This window comes from Homo sapiens, chromosome 14 (genome assembly GCF_000001405.40).
Source record: "Homo sapiens chromosome 14, GRCh38.p14 Primary Assembly".
Classification (NCBI taxonomy): Eukaryota; Metazoa; Chordata; class Mammalia; order Primates; family Hominidae; genus Homo; species Homo sapiens.
Genome location: NC_000014.9, coordinates 102,289,067 through 102,312,596, shown reverse-complemented (window position 1 = coordinate 102,312,596; position 23,530 = coordinate 102,289,067). Strand labels below are relative to the sequence as shown.

Below are 23,530 nucleotides of genomic sequence, written 5' to 3'. Positions count from 1 at the left end.
GCTACTTGGGAGGCTGAGGCGGGAGAATCGCTTGAACCCGGGAGGTGGAGGTTGTAGTGAGCCGAGATGGGACCACTACACTCCATCCTGGGCAACAGAGCAAGACTCCATCTCAAAAAAAAAATAGCAATAATAATAATAAGCAGTAGAAGACAGGGAACTGGAAGCCACGAACTAGGATCCAAGCCCAGGGGAGCCACCAGCAAGTGAGGAACCTTGGCAAACAAAGCCCTTTTCCTCTCTGGGTCTCCAAGAACAGGCCACATGGCTTCTATAAACTCAAGTAAGCAAGGATTCTCTCTCACCAGCCCGTTTAATTTTATCAAGAGTTAAAGGTTGTCCTGGATCCTCAATAGTCATTTAAAATTGGGCTTGCCCCTGCCAGAAAGGAATGACAGAGCAGGTGACAAGTGGCAGGTGGCATTGCTTCTTGATTATCCAACAAGTATGTATGTATGTATGTATGTATGTATGTATGTATGTATGTATGTATTGAGACAGAGTTTCCCTCCTGTTGCCCGGGCTGGAGTGCAATGGCACAATCTCAGTTCACTGCAACCTCCACCTCCCGGGTTCAAGAGATTCTCCTGCCTCAGCCTCCCGAATAGCTGGAATTACAGGCATGTGCCACCACGCCCGGCTAATTTTGTATTTTTAGTAGAAATGGGGTTTCTCCGTGTTGGTCAGGCTGGTGTCAAACTCCCGACCTCAGGTGATCCTCCAGCCTTGGCCTCCCAAAGTGCTGGGTTTGCAGGCGTGAGCCCCTGTACCTGGCCCCAACAAGTATTTATTGAGCACCTGCTCTGCCAGGCCCTGTGTTAGACTTTGAGTAAAAATCAATGAGCATTTGTAGAGTATTCATCATGGACACGTGGACATCTCATTTAATCTTCTACTACCTTTTACCTTTTTTTTTTTTTTTAGTGACCAAGTTTCACTCTTGTTGCCCAGGCTCGAATGCCATAGCACGATCTTGGCTCACTGCAATCTCTGCCTCCGGGATTCAAGCGATTCACTTGCCTCAGCCTCTCAAGTAGCTGGGAATACAAATGTGTGCCACCATGCCCAGCTAGTTTTTTTGTGTATTTTTAGTGGAGATGGGGTTTCACCTTGTTGGCCAGGCTGGTCTCGAACTCCTGACCTCAGGTGATCCACCAGCCTCGGTCTCCAAAAGTGCTGGGATTACAGGCTTGAGCCACCATGCCCGGCCTTCTACTACCTTTTGTAGTGGGTATTTTTTTTTTTTTTTTTGAGACAAAGTCTTGCTCTGTTGCCCAGGCTGGAGTGCAGTGGTGTGATCTCGGCTCACTGCAACCTCCGCCTCCTGGGTTTGAATGATTCTCCTGCCTCAGCCTCCCAAGTAGCTAGGATTACAGGCGCCCACCACCATGCATGCCCGGCTGATTTTTATATTTTTAGTAGAGACAGTGTTTCACCATGTTGGCCAGGCTGGTCTTGAACTTCGTCTGAAAAAACTCCGTCTCAAAAAAAAAAAAAAAAAGAAAGAAAAAGGCTCACCGGAACCTCCACCTCCCAGGTTCAAGCCATTCTTGAACCTCAGGCAATCCACCCACCTCAGCCTCCCAGAGTGCTGGGATTACAGACGTGAGCCACTGCACCCAGTCTGCAGTGGATATTTTTATCCCTGCTTTACAAAAACAAGAAAACAGCAGTACTACAACTTGGCAGGAGTTACATAGTATGAGTCTCTCTCCTACCACTTTAAGAGCTGAATTTTAAGGCCAGGTGCTGTGGCTCATGCCTGTAATCCCAGCACTTTGGGAGGCAGAGGCGGGCAGATCACAAGGTCAGGAGTTCAAGACTCCACCTGACCAACACAGTGAAACCCCTGTCTCTACTAAAAATACAAAAATTAGCTGGGTGTGGTGGTGGGCGCCTGTAATCCCAGCTACTCCGGAGGCTGAGGCAAAGAATGGCTTGAACCCGGGAGGTGAACGATCCAGTGAGCCTTTTTCTTTTTCTTCTTTTTTTTTTTTTTGAGACGGAGTGTCGCTTTTGTTGCCTAGGCTGGAGTGCAATGGCGTAATCTCGGCTCACTGCAACTTCCACCTCCTGGGTTCAAGCCATTCTCCTGCCTCAGCCTCCTGAGTAGCTGGGATTACACGCATGTGCCGCCATGCCCGGTTAAGTTTGTATTTTTAGTAGAGACGAGGTTTTTCCATGTTGGTCAGGCTGGTGTTGCATTCCCGACCTCGGGTGATCCGCCCTCCTTGGCCTCCCAAAGTGCTGGGATTACAGGTGTGACCCACCGCGCCCAGCCTTCTTTTGTTTTCTTTCCTTTTTTTTCTTCTTTTCTTTTCTTTTTTTTTTTTAAGGAAGGGTCTGGCTCTGTCGCCCAGGCTGAAGTGCAGTGTCACCATCTCGGTTTCCTGCAGCCTCTGCCTCCCAGGCTTAAATGGTCCTCCCACCTCAGCCTCCTGAGCAGCTGGGACTACAGGCATGCACCACCATGCCCAGTTAAGTTTTGCATTTTTTTTTTTTTTTTTGAGACGGTGTCTCCCTCTGTTGCCCAGGCTGGAGTGCAGTGGTGCCATCTTGGCTCACTGCAACCTCCGCCTCCCGGGTTCAAGCAATTCTCTGCCTCAGAGTAGCCAGGATTACAGGTGCCCACCACCACGCCTGGCTAATTTTTTTATAGTTTTAGTAGAGACAGGGTTTCACCATCTTGGCCAGGCTGGTCTTGAACTCCTGACCTTGTGATCTGCCGGCCTCAGCCTCCCAAAGTGCTGGGATTACAGGCATGAGCCACCGCGCCTGGCCAATTTTTGTATTTTTTGTATTATTATTGTTATTTTTTGAGACAACGGCTCTCTCCTGTTGCCCAGGCTGGAGGTCAGTGGTGCAAACATGGCTTATTGCAGCCTCGATTTCCCAGGCTCAGGTGATTCTCCCACTTTAGGCTTCTGAGTAGCTGGGACTGCAGGCACCTGCCACCAAGCCCAGCTAATTTTTTGTATTTTTAGTAGATAAGGGGTTTCACCATGTTGCCTCGGCTGGTCTCGAACCCCTGAGCTCAAGCCATCCGCTTGCCTCGGCCTCCTAAAGTGCTGGGATTACAGGTGTGAGCCACTATTCCTGGCCAGGAAACCTTTTCTTACACTTAAAAAATTCTAAATGTATTTCTTTGAGTTCCTTTTTCTCAGAAACCTACACAGACTTCTTCGTAGACAGAATTTTACCTATTTTTGCATCCACACTAGACCAGGATCTAATTTCTAGAGTGCTTGGTTAACTACCATCCTTCATGTTAATTTCAGTGGCTAATGTTTTTGCTCCTCCTTATTTAATATCCTTGTTCAAGCTTAGTTTTCCCTGAGATGTGTTTATTATTTTACAAAATCAATCTAATTTCTAATATCTTTAGGTAGATTTGCGTTTTACCCACTTTAACAGTGTTAACACGTTTGAAATGTCTGTCATCCCTAGCTTTTCTGACTTGTTTCCTGGTTTGAACCTTAATTCAGATGCTCAGCAGAAGGAAATAGGTTGTCTGCTAAACATAGCCACATGGCTGAATCCCTTGACATTGGCAAATAGGGAAAAACTAATGCTAGAATATGGGATGAACAGTCTGAGGGAGTTTTAGAACGATTCAAAAAGCTCAAGTGGTTATAATTAGGTAGTGTTCATACAGTTTTAAAAGCGGAGCTCTGGAACTGGGCGCGGTGGCTAACGCCTGTAATCCCAGCACTTTGGGAGGCTGAGGCAGGTGAATCACCTGAGGTCAGGAGTTCGAGACCAGCCTGACCAATATGGTGAAACCCCATCTCTACTAAAAATACAAAAATTAGCCAGGTGTGGTGGCACGTGCCTGTAGTCCCAGCTACTTGGGAGGCTGAGACAGGAGAATTGCTTGAACCTGGGAGGCAGAGGTTGTAGTGAGCCGAGATCAAGCCACAGTACTCCAGCCTGCGTGACAGAGCAAGACTCTGTCTCAAAAAAAAAAATTTAAAAATAATAACTTAATAAAAAAAAAAAGCAGAGCTCTGAGATGCGTGGTGGTTCCATTTCACAAGCGTTTCCTGAGCATGTAATATGTGCTGAGCAGGCTCCTGGCTCTGGGTGAGCTGGGCAGGTGAGAGGCTTGGGGTGAAGACCCTCTCTGGAGGAGTTCACAGCCTGGTACTTCTTACTTATCTGTCCATTCAGGGCTGGAGTGGCCCAGCTAGGCAGGTGCTGAGGCCACCCAGCTGAAGCCTGAACAGGTTGACCCCTCCGCTGATGTTTGAGCGTGTTTACCACAGGAAGAGAAGCTCCTCAGCAATTGTTCCTTCTTTTCAAAGCAGCATTTCCTATTTCATTTAGAATTAAAGAAAGAATAAGGAATTCTCTAGGCCAGTGGTTTTCAAAATATGGCCACTGGTGCAGCATCACCTGGAATTTTGTGAGAGCTGCAAACTATCCCCCACTCCAGACTTACAGATTTAGAAATAATGGGGCGGAAATCCCTGATCGAATGGAACATTCTGGAGTTCGTCCCCTCACCCAACCTTAAGATGAACTTGGAACAAGGGTGCTCAGCCAGAGGGGCAGGTGAGGCCGCAAGTCCAGCTGCCCCTGTTCACCTAGGTAAGCACATAGACTGTGTCTACCCCCTGGGGGCACCTTGCTCTAAATCATCTGCCCAATCAGGACCAACATGGTCTCTACAACGTCACTTCTGAGAACCACTTGTCCACAATGAAGGGAAGAAGAAAATCCATCAGCACCTGGTGAATTGGGAAACAATGGGGCTCTCACTTGCTAAATGCATTCACCTGTTCACTTATTTAATACACTCTGCCCTGCAGGGTAGAGAAAAGACACATGAGGGGCCCAAGGAACTTAGAACCCACCTGGTTAGAAGAAACTAACAAGCAAGAGACAGGGTTAGAAATATAAATGTGACATAAGGGCAAGCCCCCAAATAAGAAAGAACACAAGAAGAGAAGAAGGGATAGATCAAATCCTAGTGGTCTGGAGAGATTAGATGTGGCTTCTCAAAGCCAACAAAGATAGCACCACCAACAATAATACACCAGCAATAATCGCTATTTATTTTTTCAACTTTTTTATTGAGAGAAAATTTACATAAAATTCACCATTGTAACCATTTATTTATTTATTATTTTTTGAGATGGAGTCTTGCTCTGTCGCCCAGACTGGAGTGTAGTGGCAGGATCTCGACTCACTGTAGCCTCCACCTCCTGGGTTCAAGTGATTCTCCCGCCTCAGCCTCCTGAGTAGCTGGGATTACAGGAGCGCATCACCACACCTGGCTAATTTTTGTATTTTTAGTAGTGACAGGGTTTCACCATGTTGGTTGGCCAGCTGGTCTCGAATTCCTGACCTCAGTTGGTCCATCCTCCTCGGCCTCCCAAAGTGCTGGGATTATAGGTGTGAGCCACCACGCCTGGCTTGTTTTGTATTTTATTTATGTATTTGCTTTTTTAGACGGAGTCTCACTCTGTCGCCCAGGCTGGAGTGCAGTGGCGCAATCTCGGCTCACTGCAACCTCCGCCTCCCGGGTTCAAGCAATTCTCTGCCTCAGCCTCCCGAGTAGCTGGGATTACAGGTGCCTGCCACCACACCCGGCTCATTTTTCTATTTTCAGTAGAGATGGGGTTTCACCATCTTGGCCAGGCTAGTCTTGAACTCCTGACCTGGGGATCCACCCGCCTTGGCCTCCCAAAGTGCTGGGATTACAGGCATCAGCCACTGTGCCCAGCCGTTTTGTATTTTTTTAGTAGAGACGGGGTTTCCCCCATGTTGGCCAGGCTGGTCTCGAACTCCTGGACTCAAGTGATCTGCCTGCCTCGGCCGCCCAACGTGCTGGGATTGCAGGTGTGAGCCACCGCGACCGGCCGCTTTCTCTTTCTTTCGAGACAAGGTCTTGCTTTGTCACCCAGGCTAGAGTGCAGTGGTGCTATCATAGCTCACTGAGCCTAGAACTCCTGGTCTCAAGATACCTCCGCCTTATTCTCCTGAATAGCTGGGTTTACAGGCATGTGCCACCGTGCCCGGCTTTTTTTTTTTTTTTTTTTTTTTTTTGAGTCTCTTGCTCTGTCGCCCAGGCTGCAGTGCAGGTGGTGCAATCTCGGCTCACTGCAAGCTCCGCCTCCAGGGTTCACGCCATTCTCCTGCCTCAGCCCCCGGAGTAGCTGGAACTATAGCGCCCGCCACTACGCCCGGCTAATTTTTTTTGTATTTTTAGTAGAGATGGGGTTTCACCGTGTTAGCCAGGATGGTCTCGATTTCCTGACCTCGTGATCTGCCCGCCTTGGCCTCCCAAAGTGCTGGGATTACAGGCGTGAGCCACCACGCCCGGAGTTTTTTTTTTTTTTTTTTTAAGAGGGAAGTGGGGTTTCTCTATGTTGCCCAGGCTGGTCTTGAATTTCTGGCCTCAAGCGATCCTCTTGCCTCGGCCTTCCAAAGTGCTGGGATTACAGGTGTGAGCCACCACACCTGGCCAATTCAGTCTTAAACCAATTTTCTGAGGCTTCGTTTTGGCAAGGCTACTTATCTGTTTTAAAAATAAACGATGTATTTTAGTAAAAGAAAAAAAATGGAGGAAAAAACAGGGTTTTGATCTCATGGAATAATTATGAGGCTAATCTAATGAGCTTCATAAAATACTATACCCATACATAGTATGCTTGTTATTTTATTGTTTTGTCAGGGTCCAGAGAACTAGGCCACTGTGTTGCTTAGGCACCGTGTCTGCACATAGTTCATTCCGGTGTACATTCATTCATCTTTACACTAGAATGTTAGTTTCAAGAACTCAGTCACCTCGTCTACACTGTCCTTTAATCCCCAATACCTGCGACAGTTCCTGGGGCAAAAACAAATGCTTGTTGAATTAAAAAGAAAAACTGGGCCGGGCGTGGTGGCTCACGCCTGTAATCCCAGCACTTCGGGAGGCCGAGGCAGGCGGATCACCTGAGGTCAGGAGTTCGAGACCAGCCTAACATGGTGAAACCCCGTCTCTACTAAAAATACAAAAACATTAGCCGGGTGTAGTGGTGGGTGCCTGTAATCCCAGCTACTTGGGAGGCTGAGGCAGGAGAATCGCTTGAAGCCGGGAGGCGGAGGTTGCAGTGAGCCGAGATCACGCCATTGCACCCCAACCTGGGTAACAGAGCGACACTCTGTCTCAAAAAAAAAAAAAAATTCCTGTAGAAGCTCCCAAGCCCAATTAAAGCTCAAGGCTATCGTCCACGTAGTGGGTTCCAAATCGCTAAGTTCCCAGGCCAGCAGGGAGAGCGAGCCGAGCGAAGGTCGCCTGTGTCAAAGGCGGGGATTTGCACAGTATTTACATGGAAGCGGAGGAAAGGCTGCTTAGCAACCGGGCTGAGGGGACGGGCTGCACTGCGCACGCGTACATGGGCGGGGCATCTTGCGCATGCGCAGGCGACAGCTCATGGCGTTCAGGGCCTGACGGTTGCTAGGGTGACAGGGACACAACATGGCGGCGGGATCTCTAACGCTCTCCTTCGAGGGACCACCACGGAGATCCTAGTGCGGGACCCCGCCTCAGGGAAGTGGAAAGCAGGGGGACAACCTTCCTGCTTCTTTCTTTTCCGTCCAGTGTCGGCAAGGGGTTGTCACCGGCTTCCGCATCCAAGATGAAGAGTGAGTGGGGCCGGGGAAAGGGGCAGGGACTGGAGAGCGAGTGGCGGGGGAGGGAGGGACTGGGGGAGCTTGAGGAGCTTGAGGGGCCTGTGGGGCCGGGCGTCGTCGCCTTCTGCCGTGGCTCGACAGGCCCGGGAGGCTCCGCATGTGGGCCCCGAATCCCCCTCGGCTGTGAGAAGCCGGTGCCCCTGGGGGAAGCTTGAGGGGTTGGGGCTAGGTTGGGAACTTTGGGGTCTCGGAGAGCCGACTCGAGTTCCCGCTCAGGCATATTTTGGTGCAGGTGCGTGGTTCTTACATTGGAGTTTAGGGAGTTGACTGTGATTCATTTTATTTTATTTTAAATGCTGGCTTGAACCTGACACTCTTTTCCTGAACATTCGGCAGAAAACGGGGGAGCGCTTACAGCGTGGCTCCCTGCCTTTTCATGATACTGGTTTAGTGACCAATTGAGAGGAAAGCTGGGCTGTGTGCTTTATTTTATTTTTTGGGTCAAGCAGTAGTGTTTTATAGGAACCACTTTTTAATAGTAGTTTTGAAGCAACCTTTTAGTTAAAAGCTGTTACTTCAAAGTTGGGAAATGAGGTAGTCATTCTAGAAAATGTAACGGGTAAAAAATTTTCTTTAGTGGGATTTGTGGATTATTGACAATCCAAGTGCAACCAGCTAGAATGATGTTTTTAAAATTATTATTACTGTACAGATATAATTGTTTATGGTTGTGAACCAGAGGTGCAGTAAAAATTCAGACCTTTGCTGTGAAAATATTATGTTAGGAGTAGTTATAATGTTAAATTTGCATTGTATCCTAATTGTCAATGGTGTACATTGCATAACATTTAAAATAATTAATCTCATTCACCCTTTACAAGGCATTTTTATTTTTATTTTATTTTGTTGGATATTGTTTAATGTTTACCTTTTTCATTAATGCACTACAAAGCTGTAGTTAGAATCCAAGGTCTACAAAAGACTTTACACTTTTACTTACAGTGCAGACTATGATACTGCACATATTTTGTACTATATTCATTTTTTTCTTCCCATCTGTTTGTTTTGAAAATTTTCAGATGTACAGGAAAGTTGCAAGAGCAGTACATTGAATATTTATAAACCCGTCCTTCACTTAGCTGCACCATTTTGCCTTATTTTTGTGTGCTCGCTTTCGCTCTGGTGTTTTCTCTCTCCCATTTATGTATTTATTTTCACTGGACCTTTCAAGAGTTAGTTGTAGACTACTAATAATTCACCACTTCTTTCAGCAGTTATCTGCCAAGAACAAGGACATTCTCCTACATCATCACAGTACAAATAACACATTTAGAAAATTTAACAATGATACAATACTCTGATACACAGTCCATATTTCAGTTTTTCCATTTATCCCAATAACATGTGTTATAGTTGTTTATATTTTTTCTATCCAATCAAGAATCACCAATTGTATTCTGTTGTCATATCTCTTTGGTCTCTTTTAATATGGTGTCCCTGCCTTTTGTGTCTTTCATGACAATGATATTTTCATTTTTATTTGGCTGTCCTCTGTAGGCCAAATGACATTTTTAAAGAATCCAGCCCAGTGTTTTGCAGAATATCGCTCAATTTGGATTTGTCTGATTTTCGCCTCATGATTAGCTTCAGCTTAAATGTTTTTACCAGGAATATGTGAGAGGCAACGTTGTGTCTCTGTCAGTGTGGCCCTTCCAGAGTGCCTGATGTCAGTTCGTTGCAGTTTTGCTGAAGTTAGATTTGATCATTTGGTTTATTTATCTACCTTCTTTTTCTCTTAGACTCTTTTTTTTTTTGGACAGGGTCTCTCTGTGTCACCCTGGCTGGAGTGCAGTGGTGCAATCTTGGCTCACTGCAACCTCTGCCTCCCGGGTTCAAGTGATTCTCCTACCTCAGCCTCCCAAGTAGCTGAGATTACAGGTGTGCACCACCACGCCCAGCTAACTTGTATTTTTTGGTAGAGACGGGGTTTCAACATGTTGGCCAGGCTGGTCTCAAACTCCTGACGTCAAGCGATCCACCCGCCTCAGCCTCCCAAAGTGTTGGAATTACAGACGCGAGCCACTGTGCCTGGCCTTCCTCTTAGACTCTTCATACCCCACTACCTAGAGGCATCACTTTCAGTAATTTACTCTCTCTATATATATTATATATAAATATATAAATGTGTATTTCTCCCTTTTTAAAAGACTAATGTTAGCACTGCATGTGTATACCTATATAGAAATATGTACATATGCTGCCTGGGCGCAGTGGCTCACACCTGTAATGCCAACACTTTGGGAGGCCGAGGCGGGCAGATCACGAGTTCAGGAGATCAATACCATCCCAGCTAACACGGTGAAACCCCGGCTCTACTAAAAATACAAAAAATTAGCCAGGCGTGGTGGTGGGCACCTGTAGTCCCAGCTACTCGGGAGGCTGAGGCAGGAGAATGGCGTGGACCTGGGAGGCAGAGCTTGCAGTGAGCTGAGATCGGGCCACTGTACTGCAGCCTGGGCAACAAAGCAAGAGACTCCGTCTCAAAAAAAAAGAAAATAAATATGTATATATGCGTATATATATATAAAATTTACATTTGTGGGCCGGGTGCAGTGGCTCACGCCTGTAATCCCAGCACTTTGAGAGGCTGAGGTGGGTGGATCACTTGAGGTCAGGAGTTCGAGACCAGCCTGGTCAACATGGTGAAACCCCGTCTCTACTAAAAATACAAAAATTAGTCAGGCGTGGTGGCAGGTGCCTGTAATCCCAGCTACTTGGGAGGCTGAGGCAGGGGAATCGCTTGAACCTGGGAGGGGGGCGTTGCAGTGAGCTGAGATCGCACTACTGCACTCCAGCCTGGGCAACAGAGCAAAAAAAAAAAAAAAAGTATATGTGTGTATACATATAAAATTTACATTTATGGGGCGGGTGCAGTGGCTCACGCCTGTAATCCCAGCACTTCGGGACGCCGAGGTTGGCTGATCACTTGAGGTCAGGAGTTCGAGACCAGCCTGGCCAATGTGGTGAAACCCCATCTCAACCAAAAAATACAAGAAAAAAAAAATCAAAACAAAACAAAATACACAAAAAATGTACATTTATGATTTACTTCTTGTAAACTTTTGTTTTTAAAGTATATTTAGTATTGTTTGGTATGTTCTTTTAGATGGTCATTTTGGTAGTTTTCGGTTACTTGGTTTAGTGGTGACATCTTTATTCTCCCTTTCTTCCTTCTACCTTAAAATGTACTCTAAGAATTATTGTAACCTTTTATCCCCCTGGTTTACATCCTGATCATTAAATAAATGATTTAAAAATAGTTAACAATGGAGAGAATATTCCAGAACTGGAAATCACAGAGACAGAGTTATAGAAGTAGAATGATCAGGAAAAGTGAGTAATGGTGAAATTGGATCCATAGCTTGGGGTCAGAGTGGGGCTGGGAATGCTAGATTATTACAGGGGTCTGTCAGGATTTTCTAGGTATATTTTTGTACTTGTTTTCTAGGTGATGCCCTGTGTTTAGGGGTGTGTTATTCTGTGGAGTATTCCTGTCCTTCTTTTTATTTGGCATCGTTTGCAACAGTAGAGAGCAAAGAGTGACACAGTGCAGTTGATAAGAGCGTGGGCTTTGGAACCGGGTGGGCATGGCAGCTTCAGGCATGTTACTTTTTCTTATACTGCTTTTCTTCATTGTTCCGGTTATCTATTGCTGCGTAACAGATCACTTCAATTTTGTGGCTTAAAGGAACAACAGTCCTTCTTGTGGTTCTTCAGGTTGCCTGGATTCAACTAGGCAGGTCTTACTGGAAGTCTCTCATGCACTCAGATGGTGGCTGGAGCTGAAGTCATCTTAAAAGTTTGTTTTTTATTTTGAGATGGAGTCTCACTCTGTTGGCCAGGCTGGAATGAGTACAGTGGCACAATCTTGGCTCACTGCAACCTCTGCCTCCTGGGTTCAAGCGATTCTCCTGTCTCAGCCTCCTGAGTAGCTGGGATTTTAGGCGCACCACCACACCTGGCTAATTTTTATATTTTGAGTAGAGACGGGGTTTCACCATGTTGTTCAGGCTGGTCAAGAACTCCTGACCTCAGGTGATCCACCTGCCTTGGCCTTCCAAAATGCTGAGATTACAGGTGTGAGCCAGTGTGCCCAGCCCACATTCATCTTTAAACAGGGATGATAATACCAATCACATAGCATTGTTTCAAAGATTAAGTGAAATCATCTATATAAAGCTCATAGCACAGTGTCTGATACATGATAAATTGTGAATGAATTATTATTTGCTATTTCAGCAGATGGAAGGCAGGGATATAAAAAGGGAAAGAATGAAAACATCAGTCAGATCCTGACTTGGAAAAGTTTCCCCTTATCTAGTCTAGTTAAAGTACCACTCTTTTTTCCTGTCTGAACTTTCTTTTTTGTTTGAGATAGAGTCTGTTGCCCAGGCTGGAGTGCTGTGGTGTAGCCACAGCTCACGACAGCCTCCATCTCCTGGGCTCAGGCAATCCTCCCACCTCAGCCTCCTGAGTAGTTAGGACCACAGGCATGTGCCTCCTCGCCCAGCTAATTTTTTTTTTTTTTTGGTGGAGATGGGGTTTTGCTGTGTTGCCCAGCCCAGGCTTTTTTTTTTTTTTTTTTTTTTTGAGATAGAGTTTTGCCCTGTTGCCTAGGCTGGAGTCCAATGGCGCGATCTCGGCTCACTGCAACCTCCACCTCCCGGGTTCAAGTGATTCTTCTGCCTCAGCTTCCCAAATAGCTGGGATTACAGGTGCCTGCCAACATACCTGGCTAAGTTTTGTATTTTTAGTAGAGATCGGGTTTCACCATGCTGGCCAGGCTGGTCTCGAACTCCTGACCTCAGGCAATCTGCCCGCCTTGGCCTCCCAAAGTGCTGGGATTATATGCATGAGCCACTGTGCCCGGCTCCCCGGCTTAAGTTTTTAATTGTTTACTAGAGATGGGGGTCTCCCTATATTGCCCAGGCCGGTCTTGAACTCCTGGATTATAGGCATGAGCCACTGTGCCTGGTCCTGTCTCAACTTTTTAATGAATTATTCAAAACATACCTATAAAAAGAGAAAAGTGGCCAGGCATGGTGGCTCATGTCTGTAAACCCAGCACTTCGAGAGGCTGAGGCAAGAGATTGCTTAAATCCAGGAGTCTGAGACCAGCCTGGGCAACATGACGAGACTCTGTCTCTACTAAATTTAAAAATTGGCCAAGCATGGCAGTGCATGCCTGTGGTCTCAGGTACTCGGGAGGCTGAGGGAGGAGCATTGCTTGAACCCAGGAGTTTGAGGCTGTAGTGAGCTGGGATCACACCACTGCTCTCCAGCCTGGATGTCAAAGGAAGACCCTGTTTCAAAAAAATAAAACAAAAACCCAGAGAAGTTACACTCTGAAGACGGTAACAGTTTGCTATTGTATCAGAGAGAATTTTTCTTTTTTTTTTTGTAGGTAGTCTCACTCTGTTGCCCAGGCTGGAGTGCAGTGGTATGATCTTGGCTCGCTGCAACCTCTGCCTCCAGGGTTCAAGCAATTCTCATGCATCAGCCTCCCGAGTAGCTGGGATTTATAGGTGCAAACCACCACACCTGGTTAATTTTTGTAGTTTTAGTAAAGATGGGGTTTCACCATGTTGGCCAGGTTGGTCTCGAACTCCTGACCTCAGGTGATCTGCCCGCCTCGGCCTCCCAAAGTGCTGGGATTACAGGCGTGAGCCACTGCGTCCGGCCCAGAGAGAATTTTTAAAAGTATCTGTTGTAATTACAATGAGGTTTAAACTGTCTTTTTTTTTTTCCGCCATGGAAAGAGTCAAGTAATTTGTCTTTCTTAAATGCTGGTGTGTCCGCAGTTGGTGGGTTCTTGGTCTCACTGACTTCAAGAACTAAACCTCAGACCCTCACGGTGAGTGTTACAGTTCTTAAAAGCAGTGTGTCTGGAGTTTGTTCCTTCTGAAGTTCAGATGTGTTGAGAGTTTCTTCCTTCTGGTGGGTTCGTGGTCTCACTGGCTTCAGGAGTGAAGCTGCAGACCTTCGCGGTGAGTGTTATCGCTCTGAAGGCGGCGCATCTGGACTTGTTCATTCCTCCTGGTGGGTTCGTGGTCTTGCTGGCCTCAGGAGAGAAGCTACAGACCTTTGCAGTGAGTGTTGCAGCTCATAAAAGCAGCCTGGACCCAAAGAGTGAGTAGCAGCAAGATTTATTTTAAAGGGTGAAAGAACAAAGCTTCCACATTGTGGAAGGGGACTGGAGCATGTTGCCACTGCTGGCTTGGGCAGCCTGCTTTTATTCTCTTATCTGGCACCACCCACATCCTGCTGATTGGTCCATTTTACAGAGAGCCAATTGGTCTGTTTTACAGAGAGCTGATTGGTCCGTTTTGACAGGGTGCTGATTGGTGCGTTTACAATCCCTGAGCTAGACACAAAAGTTCTCCAAGTCCCCGTGAGATCAGCTAGACACAGAGCACTGATTGGTGCATTTGCAAACCTTGAGCTAGATACAGGGTGCTGATTGGTGTGTTTACAAACTTTGAGCTAGATACAGAGTGCTGATTGGTGTATTTACAAACCGTGAGCTAGATACAGGGTGCTGATTGGTGTGTTTACAAACTTTGAGCTAGACACAGAGTACTGATTGGTGTATTTACAATCCCTTAGCTAGACATAAAGGTTCTGCAAGTCCCCACCAGATTAGCTAGATACAGAGTGCTGATTGGTGCATTTACAAACCTTGAGCTAGACACAGAGTGCTGATTGGTGTATTTACAATCCCTTAGTTAGACATAAAGGTTCTCTAAGTCCCCACTAGACTCAGGAGCCCAGCTGGCTTCACCTAGTGGATCCCACACCAGGGCTGCAGGTGGAGCTGCCCGCCAGTCCCACACCATGTGCCTGCACCCCTCAGCCCTTGGGCAGTTGATGGGACTGGGCACCCTGGAGCAGGGGGCGGTGCTCCTCGGGGAGGCTTGGGCTGCGCAGGAGCCCACAGCGGGGGTTGGGAGGCTCAGGCATGGCGGGATGCAGGTCTGAAGCCCTGCCTCGTGGGTAGCAGCTGAGGCCCAGAAAGAATTTGAGCACAGGCAGGGCCGGTGGGCCGGCACTGCAGGGTATCCGGTGCACCCTCAGCAGCTGCTGGCCCGGGTGCTAAACCCGTCACTGCCCGGGGCCAGCAGCACCAGCTGGCCGCACCTAGTGCGGGGCCCGCTGAGCCCACACCCACCCAGAACTCATGCTGGCCCGCAAGCACCACGTGCAGCCCCGGTTCCCGCCTGCACCTCTCCCTCCACACCTCGCGGTGCCTCTTCCTCCACACCTCCCCGCAAGCTGAGGGAGCCGGCTCTGGCCCCGGCCAGCCCAGGGAGGGGCTCCCACAGTGCAGCGGCGAGCTGAAGGGCTCCTCAAGCGTGGCCAGAGTGGGCACCGAGGCCGAGGAGGTGCCGAGAGCCAGCGAGGGCTTCAAGGGCTGCCAGCACGCTATCACCTCTCACTAGTATTTTCATGGAATCAAAAAAGGTACCTCAAATAATCCTTTTCATCTCCTTCTGTGAGCATCAATTTTTGTTTTTATTTTATTTGTTTATTTATTTGTTATTGTTATTATTATTTTTGAGACGGAGTCTTGCAGTGTGGACCAGGCTGGAGTGCAGTGACGTAATCTTGGCTCACTGTGAGCTCCGCCTCCTGGGTTCATGCCATTCTCCTGCCTCAGCCTCCAGAGTAGCTGGGACTACAGGCGCCCGCCACCACACCCTGCTAATTTTTTTATACTTTTAGTAGAGATGGGGTTTCACCGTGTTAGCCAGGATGGTCTTGATCTCCTGACCTCGTGATCTGCCCACCTTGGCCTCCCAAAGTGCTGGTATTACAGGCGTGAGTCACCGTGCCCAGCCTATTTATTATTATTTTTTGAGACAGAGTCTCGCTGTGTTGCCCAGGCTGGAGTGCAGTGGTGTGATTTCAGCTCACTGCAACCTCTGCCTCCTGGGTTCAAGGTATTCTCCCACCTCAGCCTCCCAAGTAGATGGGACTACAAGTGTCTGCCACCACGCCTGGGTAATTTTTGTATTTTTAGTAGAGACAGGGTTTCACCATATTGGCCAGGCTTGTCTCGATCTCCTGACCTTGTGATCCACCTGCCTCAGCCTCCCAAAGTGCTGGGATTACAGGTGTGAGCCATTTTATTTTACTTATTTATTATTATTATTTTTTTAGAGATGAGGGTCTCACCATGTTGCCTAGACTGGTCTCAAAATCCTGGGATCTGGTGGTCCTCCTGTCTCGGCCTCCCAATATGTTGGAATTACAGCTGTGCCTGGCCACTTTCTGTTTTTATAAGTAGATGCATTATCTAGCAACTGTTTCTCTTGAAATAAAAACAAAATGAGGTAAACTTAATACTGGCTTTGTGATAAATCCAAACCATAGAAGGTTTTGAGTTAGCCTCAGGACCTTCCCCTATTTGCCACAGTAAATCCTGGTTAACATTGTCTTAGATGGACATTCATACATTTTCTATGCATATTTTTGTGTATATACACACAAGTTTTATATATTGGTGTGTGTGTATATACATATAAATATATGGTTGTTCCTTACCCAAAATCAAATGGGATTACATTAAATATGTTGTATTGTAGCTTGTAGGATGATGCATCTATGAAGATGCTTGAACATAGTTTTTTTTTTGTAATAGATCTTGCTATTTTTTTTTTTTTTTTTTGAGACGTACTCTCAGTCTGTTGCCCAGGCTGGAGTGCAGTGGCGTGATTTTGGCTCACTGTACTCTCCACCTTCTGGGTTCAAGCGATTCTCCTGCCTCAGCCTTCCAGGTAGCTGAGATTACAGGCAGGCACCACCACGCCTGGCTAATTTTTGTATTTTTAGTAGAGACTCGGTTTCACCATATTGGCCAGGCTGGTCTTGAACTCCTGACCTCAGGTGATCGACCCGTCTTGGTCTCCCAAAGTGCTGGGATTACAGGCATGAGCCACTATGCCTAGCCAGGTGTTGCTATGTTGACCAGGCTGGTCATGAACTCCTGATCTGAAGTGATCCTCCCATCTTGCACTCCCAAAGTGTTAGGATTACAGATGTGAGCCATCACGCCCAGTCCAGAACATAGATCTTTGAATAATTCTTCAAGTTTATTAACAGTGGACTTACTGGGTTAATAGGTGTAATTTCAATTTTAAAATTTTAAGAATTTTTGAATAGTTTTGTGTTCTTTTCTGTTTTCACAATGTTTAGTAATTCAGGTCATAATTTTCCTCACTATATCAAATAATTAATTGTGTACAGCTCCTCTTCACTGAAGCTTCCTGACCTTGTTTTAGTAATTTGGTTTGAACTGTTTAATCTCTCGAAGAGAATGGAAATTAGTAAGAAGCTGAAATCTTCTTCCTCGCATACTCTAGTTGTAGTCAGCAATTAACCTCCCCCAATTCTTTTCCTCCCTCTACTGGTGAAGCCCCATAGCTCTGATGCCTGTCACCCACCCTGATTAAGAACTTTATAAACAGCACATGAATAAAAATGTTTGGACTTGAACGTGACAAGTTTTGCATTTCACAAAAAGTGAATTTGACCTTCATTTTCACTTGTTAAATAAGGCTTAAATTCCACTTCAACAAACAAGCCTTGGTTTAATAAATGTGCATAGAATCTTAATACAGAGGTATTCATTTATCTCCCTTGTTCTCCCTTTTTCATCCAGCTCTGTTATTTTAACCCCTTTGTCCTTGAGTCTGTTTTTCTTTTTGTTTTGGTGCTTGTTTACTCTATTCCCAATAATGTGGGGCATGACGTTCATTTACAGTATCATAGCTCTGTTCCCTTCAGAGCTTTGTATCATGCTTTGTCTGCATTTCAGTGTTTCTTGTTTAATTTTGAAGGCCTATGAAAATACGCCAGATCTTGTTGGAGAGAACAGGAACTTTTCCCAGGAATTTTTTCATAGAGGTGGTTTCTTTTTTAATCCCTGCCTCTTATCCTTGTTTTATACCCCATACTTTCTGCCTACTAGAAGAGCCATGAGGGAAACAAGTGACCCCTTTATCTACCAACAGACACCTCCAGTGCGGCAAGTTCCATTTATTGCTGGTTGTGATGGTTTCGAGCCAGCCTGGGACATTGGCACACACTGAATTTGTGTGCTGAAACCACTTTACAGTTCACAGTTGACCTATTTTTTTTAAAGCAAGTCTGCTTAATTTATCTGTGATGAAACACAAATTGGAATTGATTGTGTAAATTCCCTCTTCTCTTAAATCTGAATTCCTTAGTCCACAGCTTGACTTTGAGTGATTGACCTCCAATCCCTCCTTTGATTTTCTTTTTTTTTTCTTTTTGAGACAAGGTCTCTCGCTGTCTGTCACTCAGGCTGGAGTACAGTGGCACCATCATGGCTCACTGCAGCCTTGACTTCCCGGGCTCAGAGGATTCTCCTATCTCAGCCTCCCAAGTGGCCGGGGCTACAGGCACGCATCACGATGCCTGGCTAATTTTTTTTTTTTTTTTTTTTGAGACGGAGTCTCGCTCTATCACCCTGGCTGGAGTGCAGTGGCGCTATCTCGGCTCACTGCCAGCTCCGCCTCCCGGGTTCATGCCATTTTCCTGCCTCAGCCTCCCGAGTAGCTGGGACTACACGTGCCCACCACCACGCCTGGCTAATTTTTTGTATTTTTAGTAGAGACGGGGTTTCACCATGTTAGCCAGGATGGTGTTGATCTCCTGACCTCGTGATCCGCCCGCCTTGGCCTCCCAAAGTGCTGGGATTACAGGCATGAGCCACCGCACCCGGCCTCACCTGGCTAATTTTTTTGTATTTTTGGTAGAGACAAGATTTCACCATGTTACCCAGGCTGGTCTCAAACTCCTGGGATCAGGTGATCCGCCTGCCTAAGCCTCCCAGAGTGCTGGGATTACAGGCATGAGCCACCACACCTGGCCCCTTCCCGTGATCTTTATGACTGTCTTCCTTTAAAAGGATATTGTAGTTTTAAGACAGTTCATTTTAAGTTCATGTTTTTCGTGGCACTTAGCCAACACTTTCACTGATTTCTTAAAATTCTTGAAATGTTCACCTTTACACACATTTAAAGTAATGTGTATTCATTGCGAACATTGAGTAATGTAGATAATTATAATGAAGAAAATTTAAATCACCTTCAGTCCCACTCAGATACATTAAAAAAATTACATATTTATATTCAGTCTTTTTCTTTTTTTTCTTTTCTTTTCTTTTTTTTTTTTTTTTTTTTTTTTTGTGATGGAGTTTCGCTCTTGTTGCCCAGGCTGGAGTGCAATGGTGCTATGATCTTGGCTCACCGCAACCTCCGCCTCCTGGGTTCAAGTGATTCTCCTGCCTCAGCCTCCCGAGTAGCTGGGATTACAGGCATGCACCACCACACCTGGCTAATTTTGTATTTTTAGTAGAGACAGGGTTTCTCCATGTTGGTCATGCTGGTCTCGAACTCCTGACCTCAGGTGATCCGCCTGCCTCAGCCTCCCAAAGTGCTGGGATTACAGGCGTGAGCCACCGCACCCAGCTGTATTCAGTCTTTCTCTGTGCATGTGTTGTGTGTATGATCATTATCATCCTTTTTTTCACTTAACATGAAATTATGGCTGAACATTTTCCCATGTCATGAAATATTATTTGAAAGCATCGTTATCAATGGTTACATAATATTTCAGTCTGTGGCTATTTCATAGTTTGTTAGAACATTTCCTTGATACTGGATATTTAAGTTTCTGGCATTCTTACTTTTGTGACACTGTGAATACCATCTTTGTTTATGAAGTTTTTTGTTTGTTCATTTGTTTTTTGTTTTTGAGATGGAATCTAGCTCTGTCACCCAGGCTGGAGTGCAGTGGCACAATCTCCGCTCACTGCAACCTCCGCCTCCCAGGTTCAAGCGATTCTTATGCCTCAGCCTTGCTAGCAGCTGGGATTGCAGGTGTGCGCCACCCTCCTGGCGAATTTTTGTATTTTTAGTAGAGATGGGGTTTCATTATGTTGGCCAGGCTGGTTTGGAACCCTTGACCTCAGGTGATCTGCCCACCTCAGCCTCACAAAGTGCTGGGATTACAGGCATGAGCTACCACACCCAGCCTCAATGTGGCTGTTAATGTACAGATTCACTCATATACAAATTGAATGGTTTTAATACTAAAATAATATTTAATTCCCCAAGCTTTTTTTTTTTCCTGTTGGTTTTTGTTTCTCTAAGTGTAATGGCACAAGAGAGAACAGATTGTGGACTTTCTATTTAAGAGGTTTATGGCTTTATGAGGAGAAGGTGCATAGTGGAGCATGAGCAGTTCTGTAACAGGAGGACAAGGTGCACACAGAAGGAAGAAAGACATCTGCTTGAAAGCTTCCCAGGCCGGTCCTGGAAGATTGGAATCCAGAGCACCATGTATTTGGTATTACACACTATGTACTCCATAATTAGTTGTTTTTTTGTTTTGTTTTGTTTTGTTTTGTTTTTTGAGATGGAGTCTTGCTCTGTTGCCCAGGCTAGAGTGCAGTGGTGCTATCTCGGCTCACTGCAAGCTCCACCTCCTGGGTTCACGCCATTCTCCTGCCTCAGCCTCCTGAGTAGCTGGGACTACAGCTGTCTGCCACCATGCCCGGCTAATTTTTCACATTTTTAGTAGAGATGGGGTTTCACCGTGTTAGCCAGGATGGTCTCGATCTCCTGACCTTGTGATCCACCCGCCTCAGCCTCCCAAAGTGCTAGGATTACAGGCATGAGCCACCGCACCCGGCCTATGTACTCCATAATTTGACCATTGATATTTTCTAAACAAAAATGTTCCATTTCCTCCCTCCCTCTTTTATAAGGAAAGGACCTAAAATTAGGGGTATAGGGACATACTGTAAATTCTCAAGACTAGGGATTACGTCTTAATGATATTTGTGTCTACAGTGCATGGCACAGTGTGTGGTATATAGCTGGTGCTAAGAAGTCTTTATTATTATTATTGTTAGTTTTTTTTTTTTTGAGACAGAGTTTTGCTCTGTTGCCCAGGCTTCAGTACAGTGGCGTGATCTCGGCTCACTGCAACCTCCGCCTCCCAGGTTCAGACAGTTCTTCTGTCTCAGCCTCCCAAGTAGCTGGGATTACAGGCACAGGCCACCATGCCTGGAAAATTTTTTGTATTTTTAGTAGAGATGGGGTTTCACCATGTTGGCCAGGCTGGTCTCAAACTCCCGATCTGAGGTGATCTGCCCACCTTGGCCTCCCAAAGTGCTGGGATTACAGGTGTGAGCCACCGCACTTGGCTGCAAGCAGACCTTTCTAAGGAGAGAAGTCCCAGGCCTGCTGTGTGAGCTCTTCTGCACAATGAAGACACTGATCTTCTTGTAGAGAAATTTCTGGGCTTTCCAGTTTAATTCATTTAAGAGAAGGGGTAAATTTTGGTGGTGTTTTAGCAAGCAACAGCTATCCCTTGACTAGTATGAACAGGGCCTGGTAGGTCAGTATGAGGGTCTGCTTGAGGGCAGAAGATGTTTAGGCTGTTGAATTTTCCCACAAAGTTTCAAGTTTGGAGGCTCCTCAAGAAACTTGTCAAAATTACTTAATGAGGTTTTAAACTGTACAAATTAGTGGTCAGGGCCAGGGCCTGTATTTTGGTCCATTTCTTTTGCAGAAGCTTCTTGGAGATGCACCAAAGAATCTTTATTGCCTGGTTTTAGGATTTAATGGAATTTAATTAGGTTTCCAGTTGTAGAGAGGCTCTGGGACTTAGTTAAGCTATAGTTGTCAAGCAAGTTATGGCTTCCGGTTTTTTGTCAGAAGGGATATGGTACCGTGCTCTGTCCTGAAGCCTCAGCGGGGCTCACTCCTGCCTTACATTAGCCAGTTTCTCCCAGAAGGCAAGTGAGAACAATAAAGCTAGCAGAATAGTTCTGAAACCCTGCCTTGCTGGGAGCTAGATTAGTTCCTCTTTTATTCAGGGAAAACTTGGATAAAAGGGATTCTAATAGCATAGTTTGAAGATCTTCGGTTTGGGGATCTAGAGCGGTGCTGGGGGATGTTAACTGGTGTTCTCTGGTTGTATCTCACACCCCTCTCATATACCCCACCTCCATTTGGAGACTCATCTCATATGCAGGGAAAGGCATTGAGGAATTCTGCAAACACATTTTGCCGTATTTAACTCTGTATTTCCTAAATTTATTTGCTTATGGAACCCTCTTTTGTGGAATACCCATTAGGGTTCAGGGATCCTCGTGTTTTGTAGTACTCAGTTTGGAAAATGCTAGTCTGGAGATTCAGCATCCTCAGGTTGTTTTTCCTGGAAGTGGTAATGGAGAGCAGCCCTTCCTGGTGCAGTAGGCCACCTTTCTTTTGCTCATAACACAGACCAGTTGTGACACTTGGCTCTGTCTCAGGCTGTGACTTTTAATATACCGATTTACTTATACACAAATTGAATGGTTAATGTTCCATTCCCCAAGCCTTTTTTGTTCATTTTTACTATTTTTTTTGTTTGTTTGTTTCTCTCTTTTTTTTTTGAGACTGAGTTTTGCTCTTGTTGCCCAGGCTGGAGTGCAGTGGCGTGATCTCGGCTCACCGCAACCTCCTCCTCTTGGGTTCAAGCGATTCGCCTGCCTCAGCCTTCCTGAGTAGCTGGGATTAGAGGCATGCACCACCACACCCGGCTAATTTTGTATTTTTAGTAGAGATGGGGTTTTTCCATGTTGGTCAGGCTGGTCTTGAACTCCCGACCTCAGATGATCTGCCCACCTCGGCCTTCCAAAGTGCTGGGATTATAGGCGTGAGCCACCATACCTAGTCTTTTTTTTTTTTTTCTCTAAGTGTAATGCATTTTATCTCCTGCTTCTTGTAAGTTTCCAGGACCAAGTAATACTCAAACCCTTCCCAGAGGGTTTTCATTTCGAACAAGGAAGCCACCTGGGAAATAGGGTGGAGACCTGTTTTGAGAAACCAGAAGAGGATGTCTCGTTCTAACCATGGAGAAAAAGAATCTAGTCTCCTTGTTAGGAAGACTGTTGAAGAAGTGTTCTTTATCCTTTAGTTCTTATTAAGAGAATTGTTTTAGTTTCAATTGTAAGGACCAGTAAATCTCCTTACACCTCACAGTATGGAGACATATTATTATAACTGTTGACAAAGAAGGAGCTTGAGGGCTGGGTGCAGTGGCTCACGCCTATAATCCCAGCACTTTGGGAGGGTGAGGCGGGTGGGAAGCTGAGGCGGGTGGATTACCTGAGGTTAGGAGTTCGAGACCAGCCTGGCCAACATGGTGAAACCCCATCTCTACTAAAAATACAAAAATTAGCTTGGTATGGTGGCACACACCTGTAATCCCAGCTACTTGGGAGGCTGAGGCACGAGAATCTCTTGAACTTGGAAGATGGAGGTTGTAGTGAGCCGAGATCACTTGGGCAACACAGTGAGACTCTGTCTCAAAATAAAATAAAATAAAATAAAAATAAAAAACAGGAGCTTAAAAATAGGAAAACCCGAGAGCAGGAGGGAATTGGCCCTCTTAGGAACTAGAATAGTATTGAAAGCAGATTGTTTTGCACCTTAGCAGTAGGGATTTGTAGACGTGCATATTCTGCCATTAATGAGATTTCTCAGTCTGTGTTTCTTTGTGATTTTCCCTGTATATACTTTTACTGTGTATCATTTCTGTTCCTTATACTCTCTGCTTATTCCTAACTCTGTTTTTTTTTTCTGATTTTATTTTGGAGTATAACATAATACAGAAAACTGCACAAATTGGCCAAGCGCAGTGGCTCGTGCCTGTAATCCCAGCACTTTGGGAGGCCAAGACGGGCGGATCACTTGTGCTGAGGAGTTTGAGACCAGCCTGGGCAACATGGTGAAATCCTGTCTCTACAAAAAATACAAAACAATTA

The 23,530-nt window shown here is 45.9% G+C and overlaps 1 protein-coding gene across 26 annotated transcripts in view, besides 2 other annotated features; it reads left to right on the top strand.

Moving 5' to 3' along the window:
• Nucleotides 7,030-7,552: an enhancer, noted in NCBI's record as "H3K27ac-H3K4me1 hESC enhancer chr14:102771382-102771904 (GRCh37/hg19 assembly coordinates)". NCBI's record gives its function as "activates a minimal SCP1, AML or CMV promoter by ChIP-STARR-seq in naive and primed H9 embryonic stem cells {active_cell/tissue: H9 hESC(naive and primed)}" and the evidence as "EXISTENCE:reporter gene assay evidence [ECO:0000049][PMID:30033119]".
• Nucleotides 7,214-7,263: an enhancer, noted in NCBI's record as "active region_9067". NCBI's record gives its function as "activates an Ori minimal core promoter by ATAC-STARR-seq in GM12878 lymphoblastoid cells {active_cell/tissue: GM12878}" and the evidence as "EXISTENCE:reporter gene assay evidence [ECO:0000049][PMID:35858748]".
• Nucleotides 7,433-23,530, top strand: part of MOK (MOK protein kinase) — a 90,569-nt gene continuing 74,471 nt past the window's right edge. For all 26 annotated transcript variants that reach the window (XR_007064041.1, XR_007064040.1, XR_007064039.1 and 23 more), the window contains exon 1: nucleotides 7,433-7,635. Coding sequence is in view for 14 of the 26 variants with exons in the window: in XM_047431647.1 (XP_047287603.1) it covers nucleotides 7,629-7,635 (7 nt within the window). In the remaining 12 variants the exon portion in view is untranslated. The remainder of the gene's footprint in view (nucleotides 7,636-23,530) is intronic.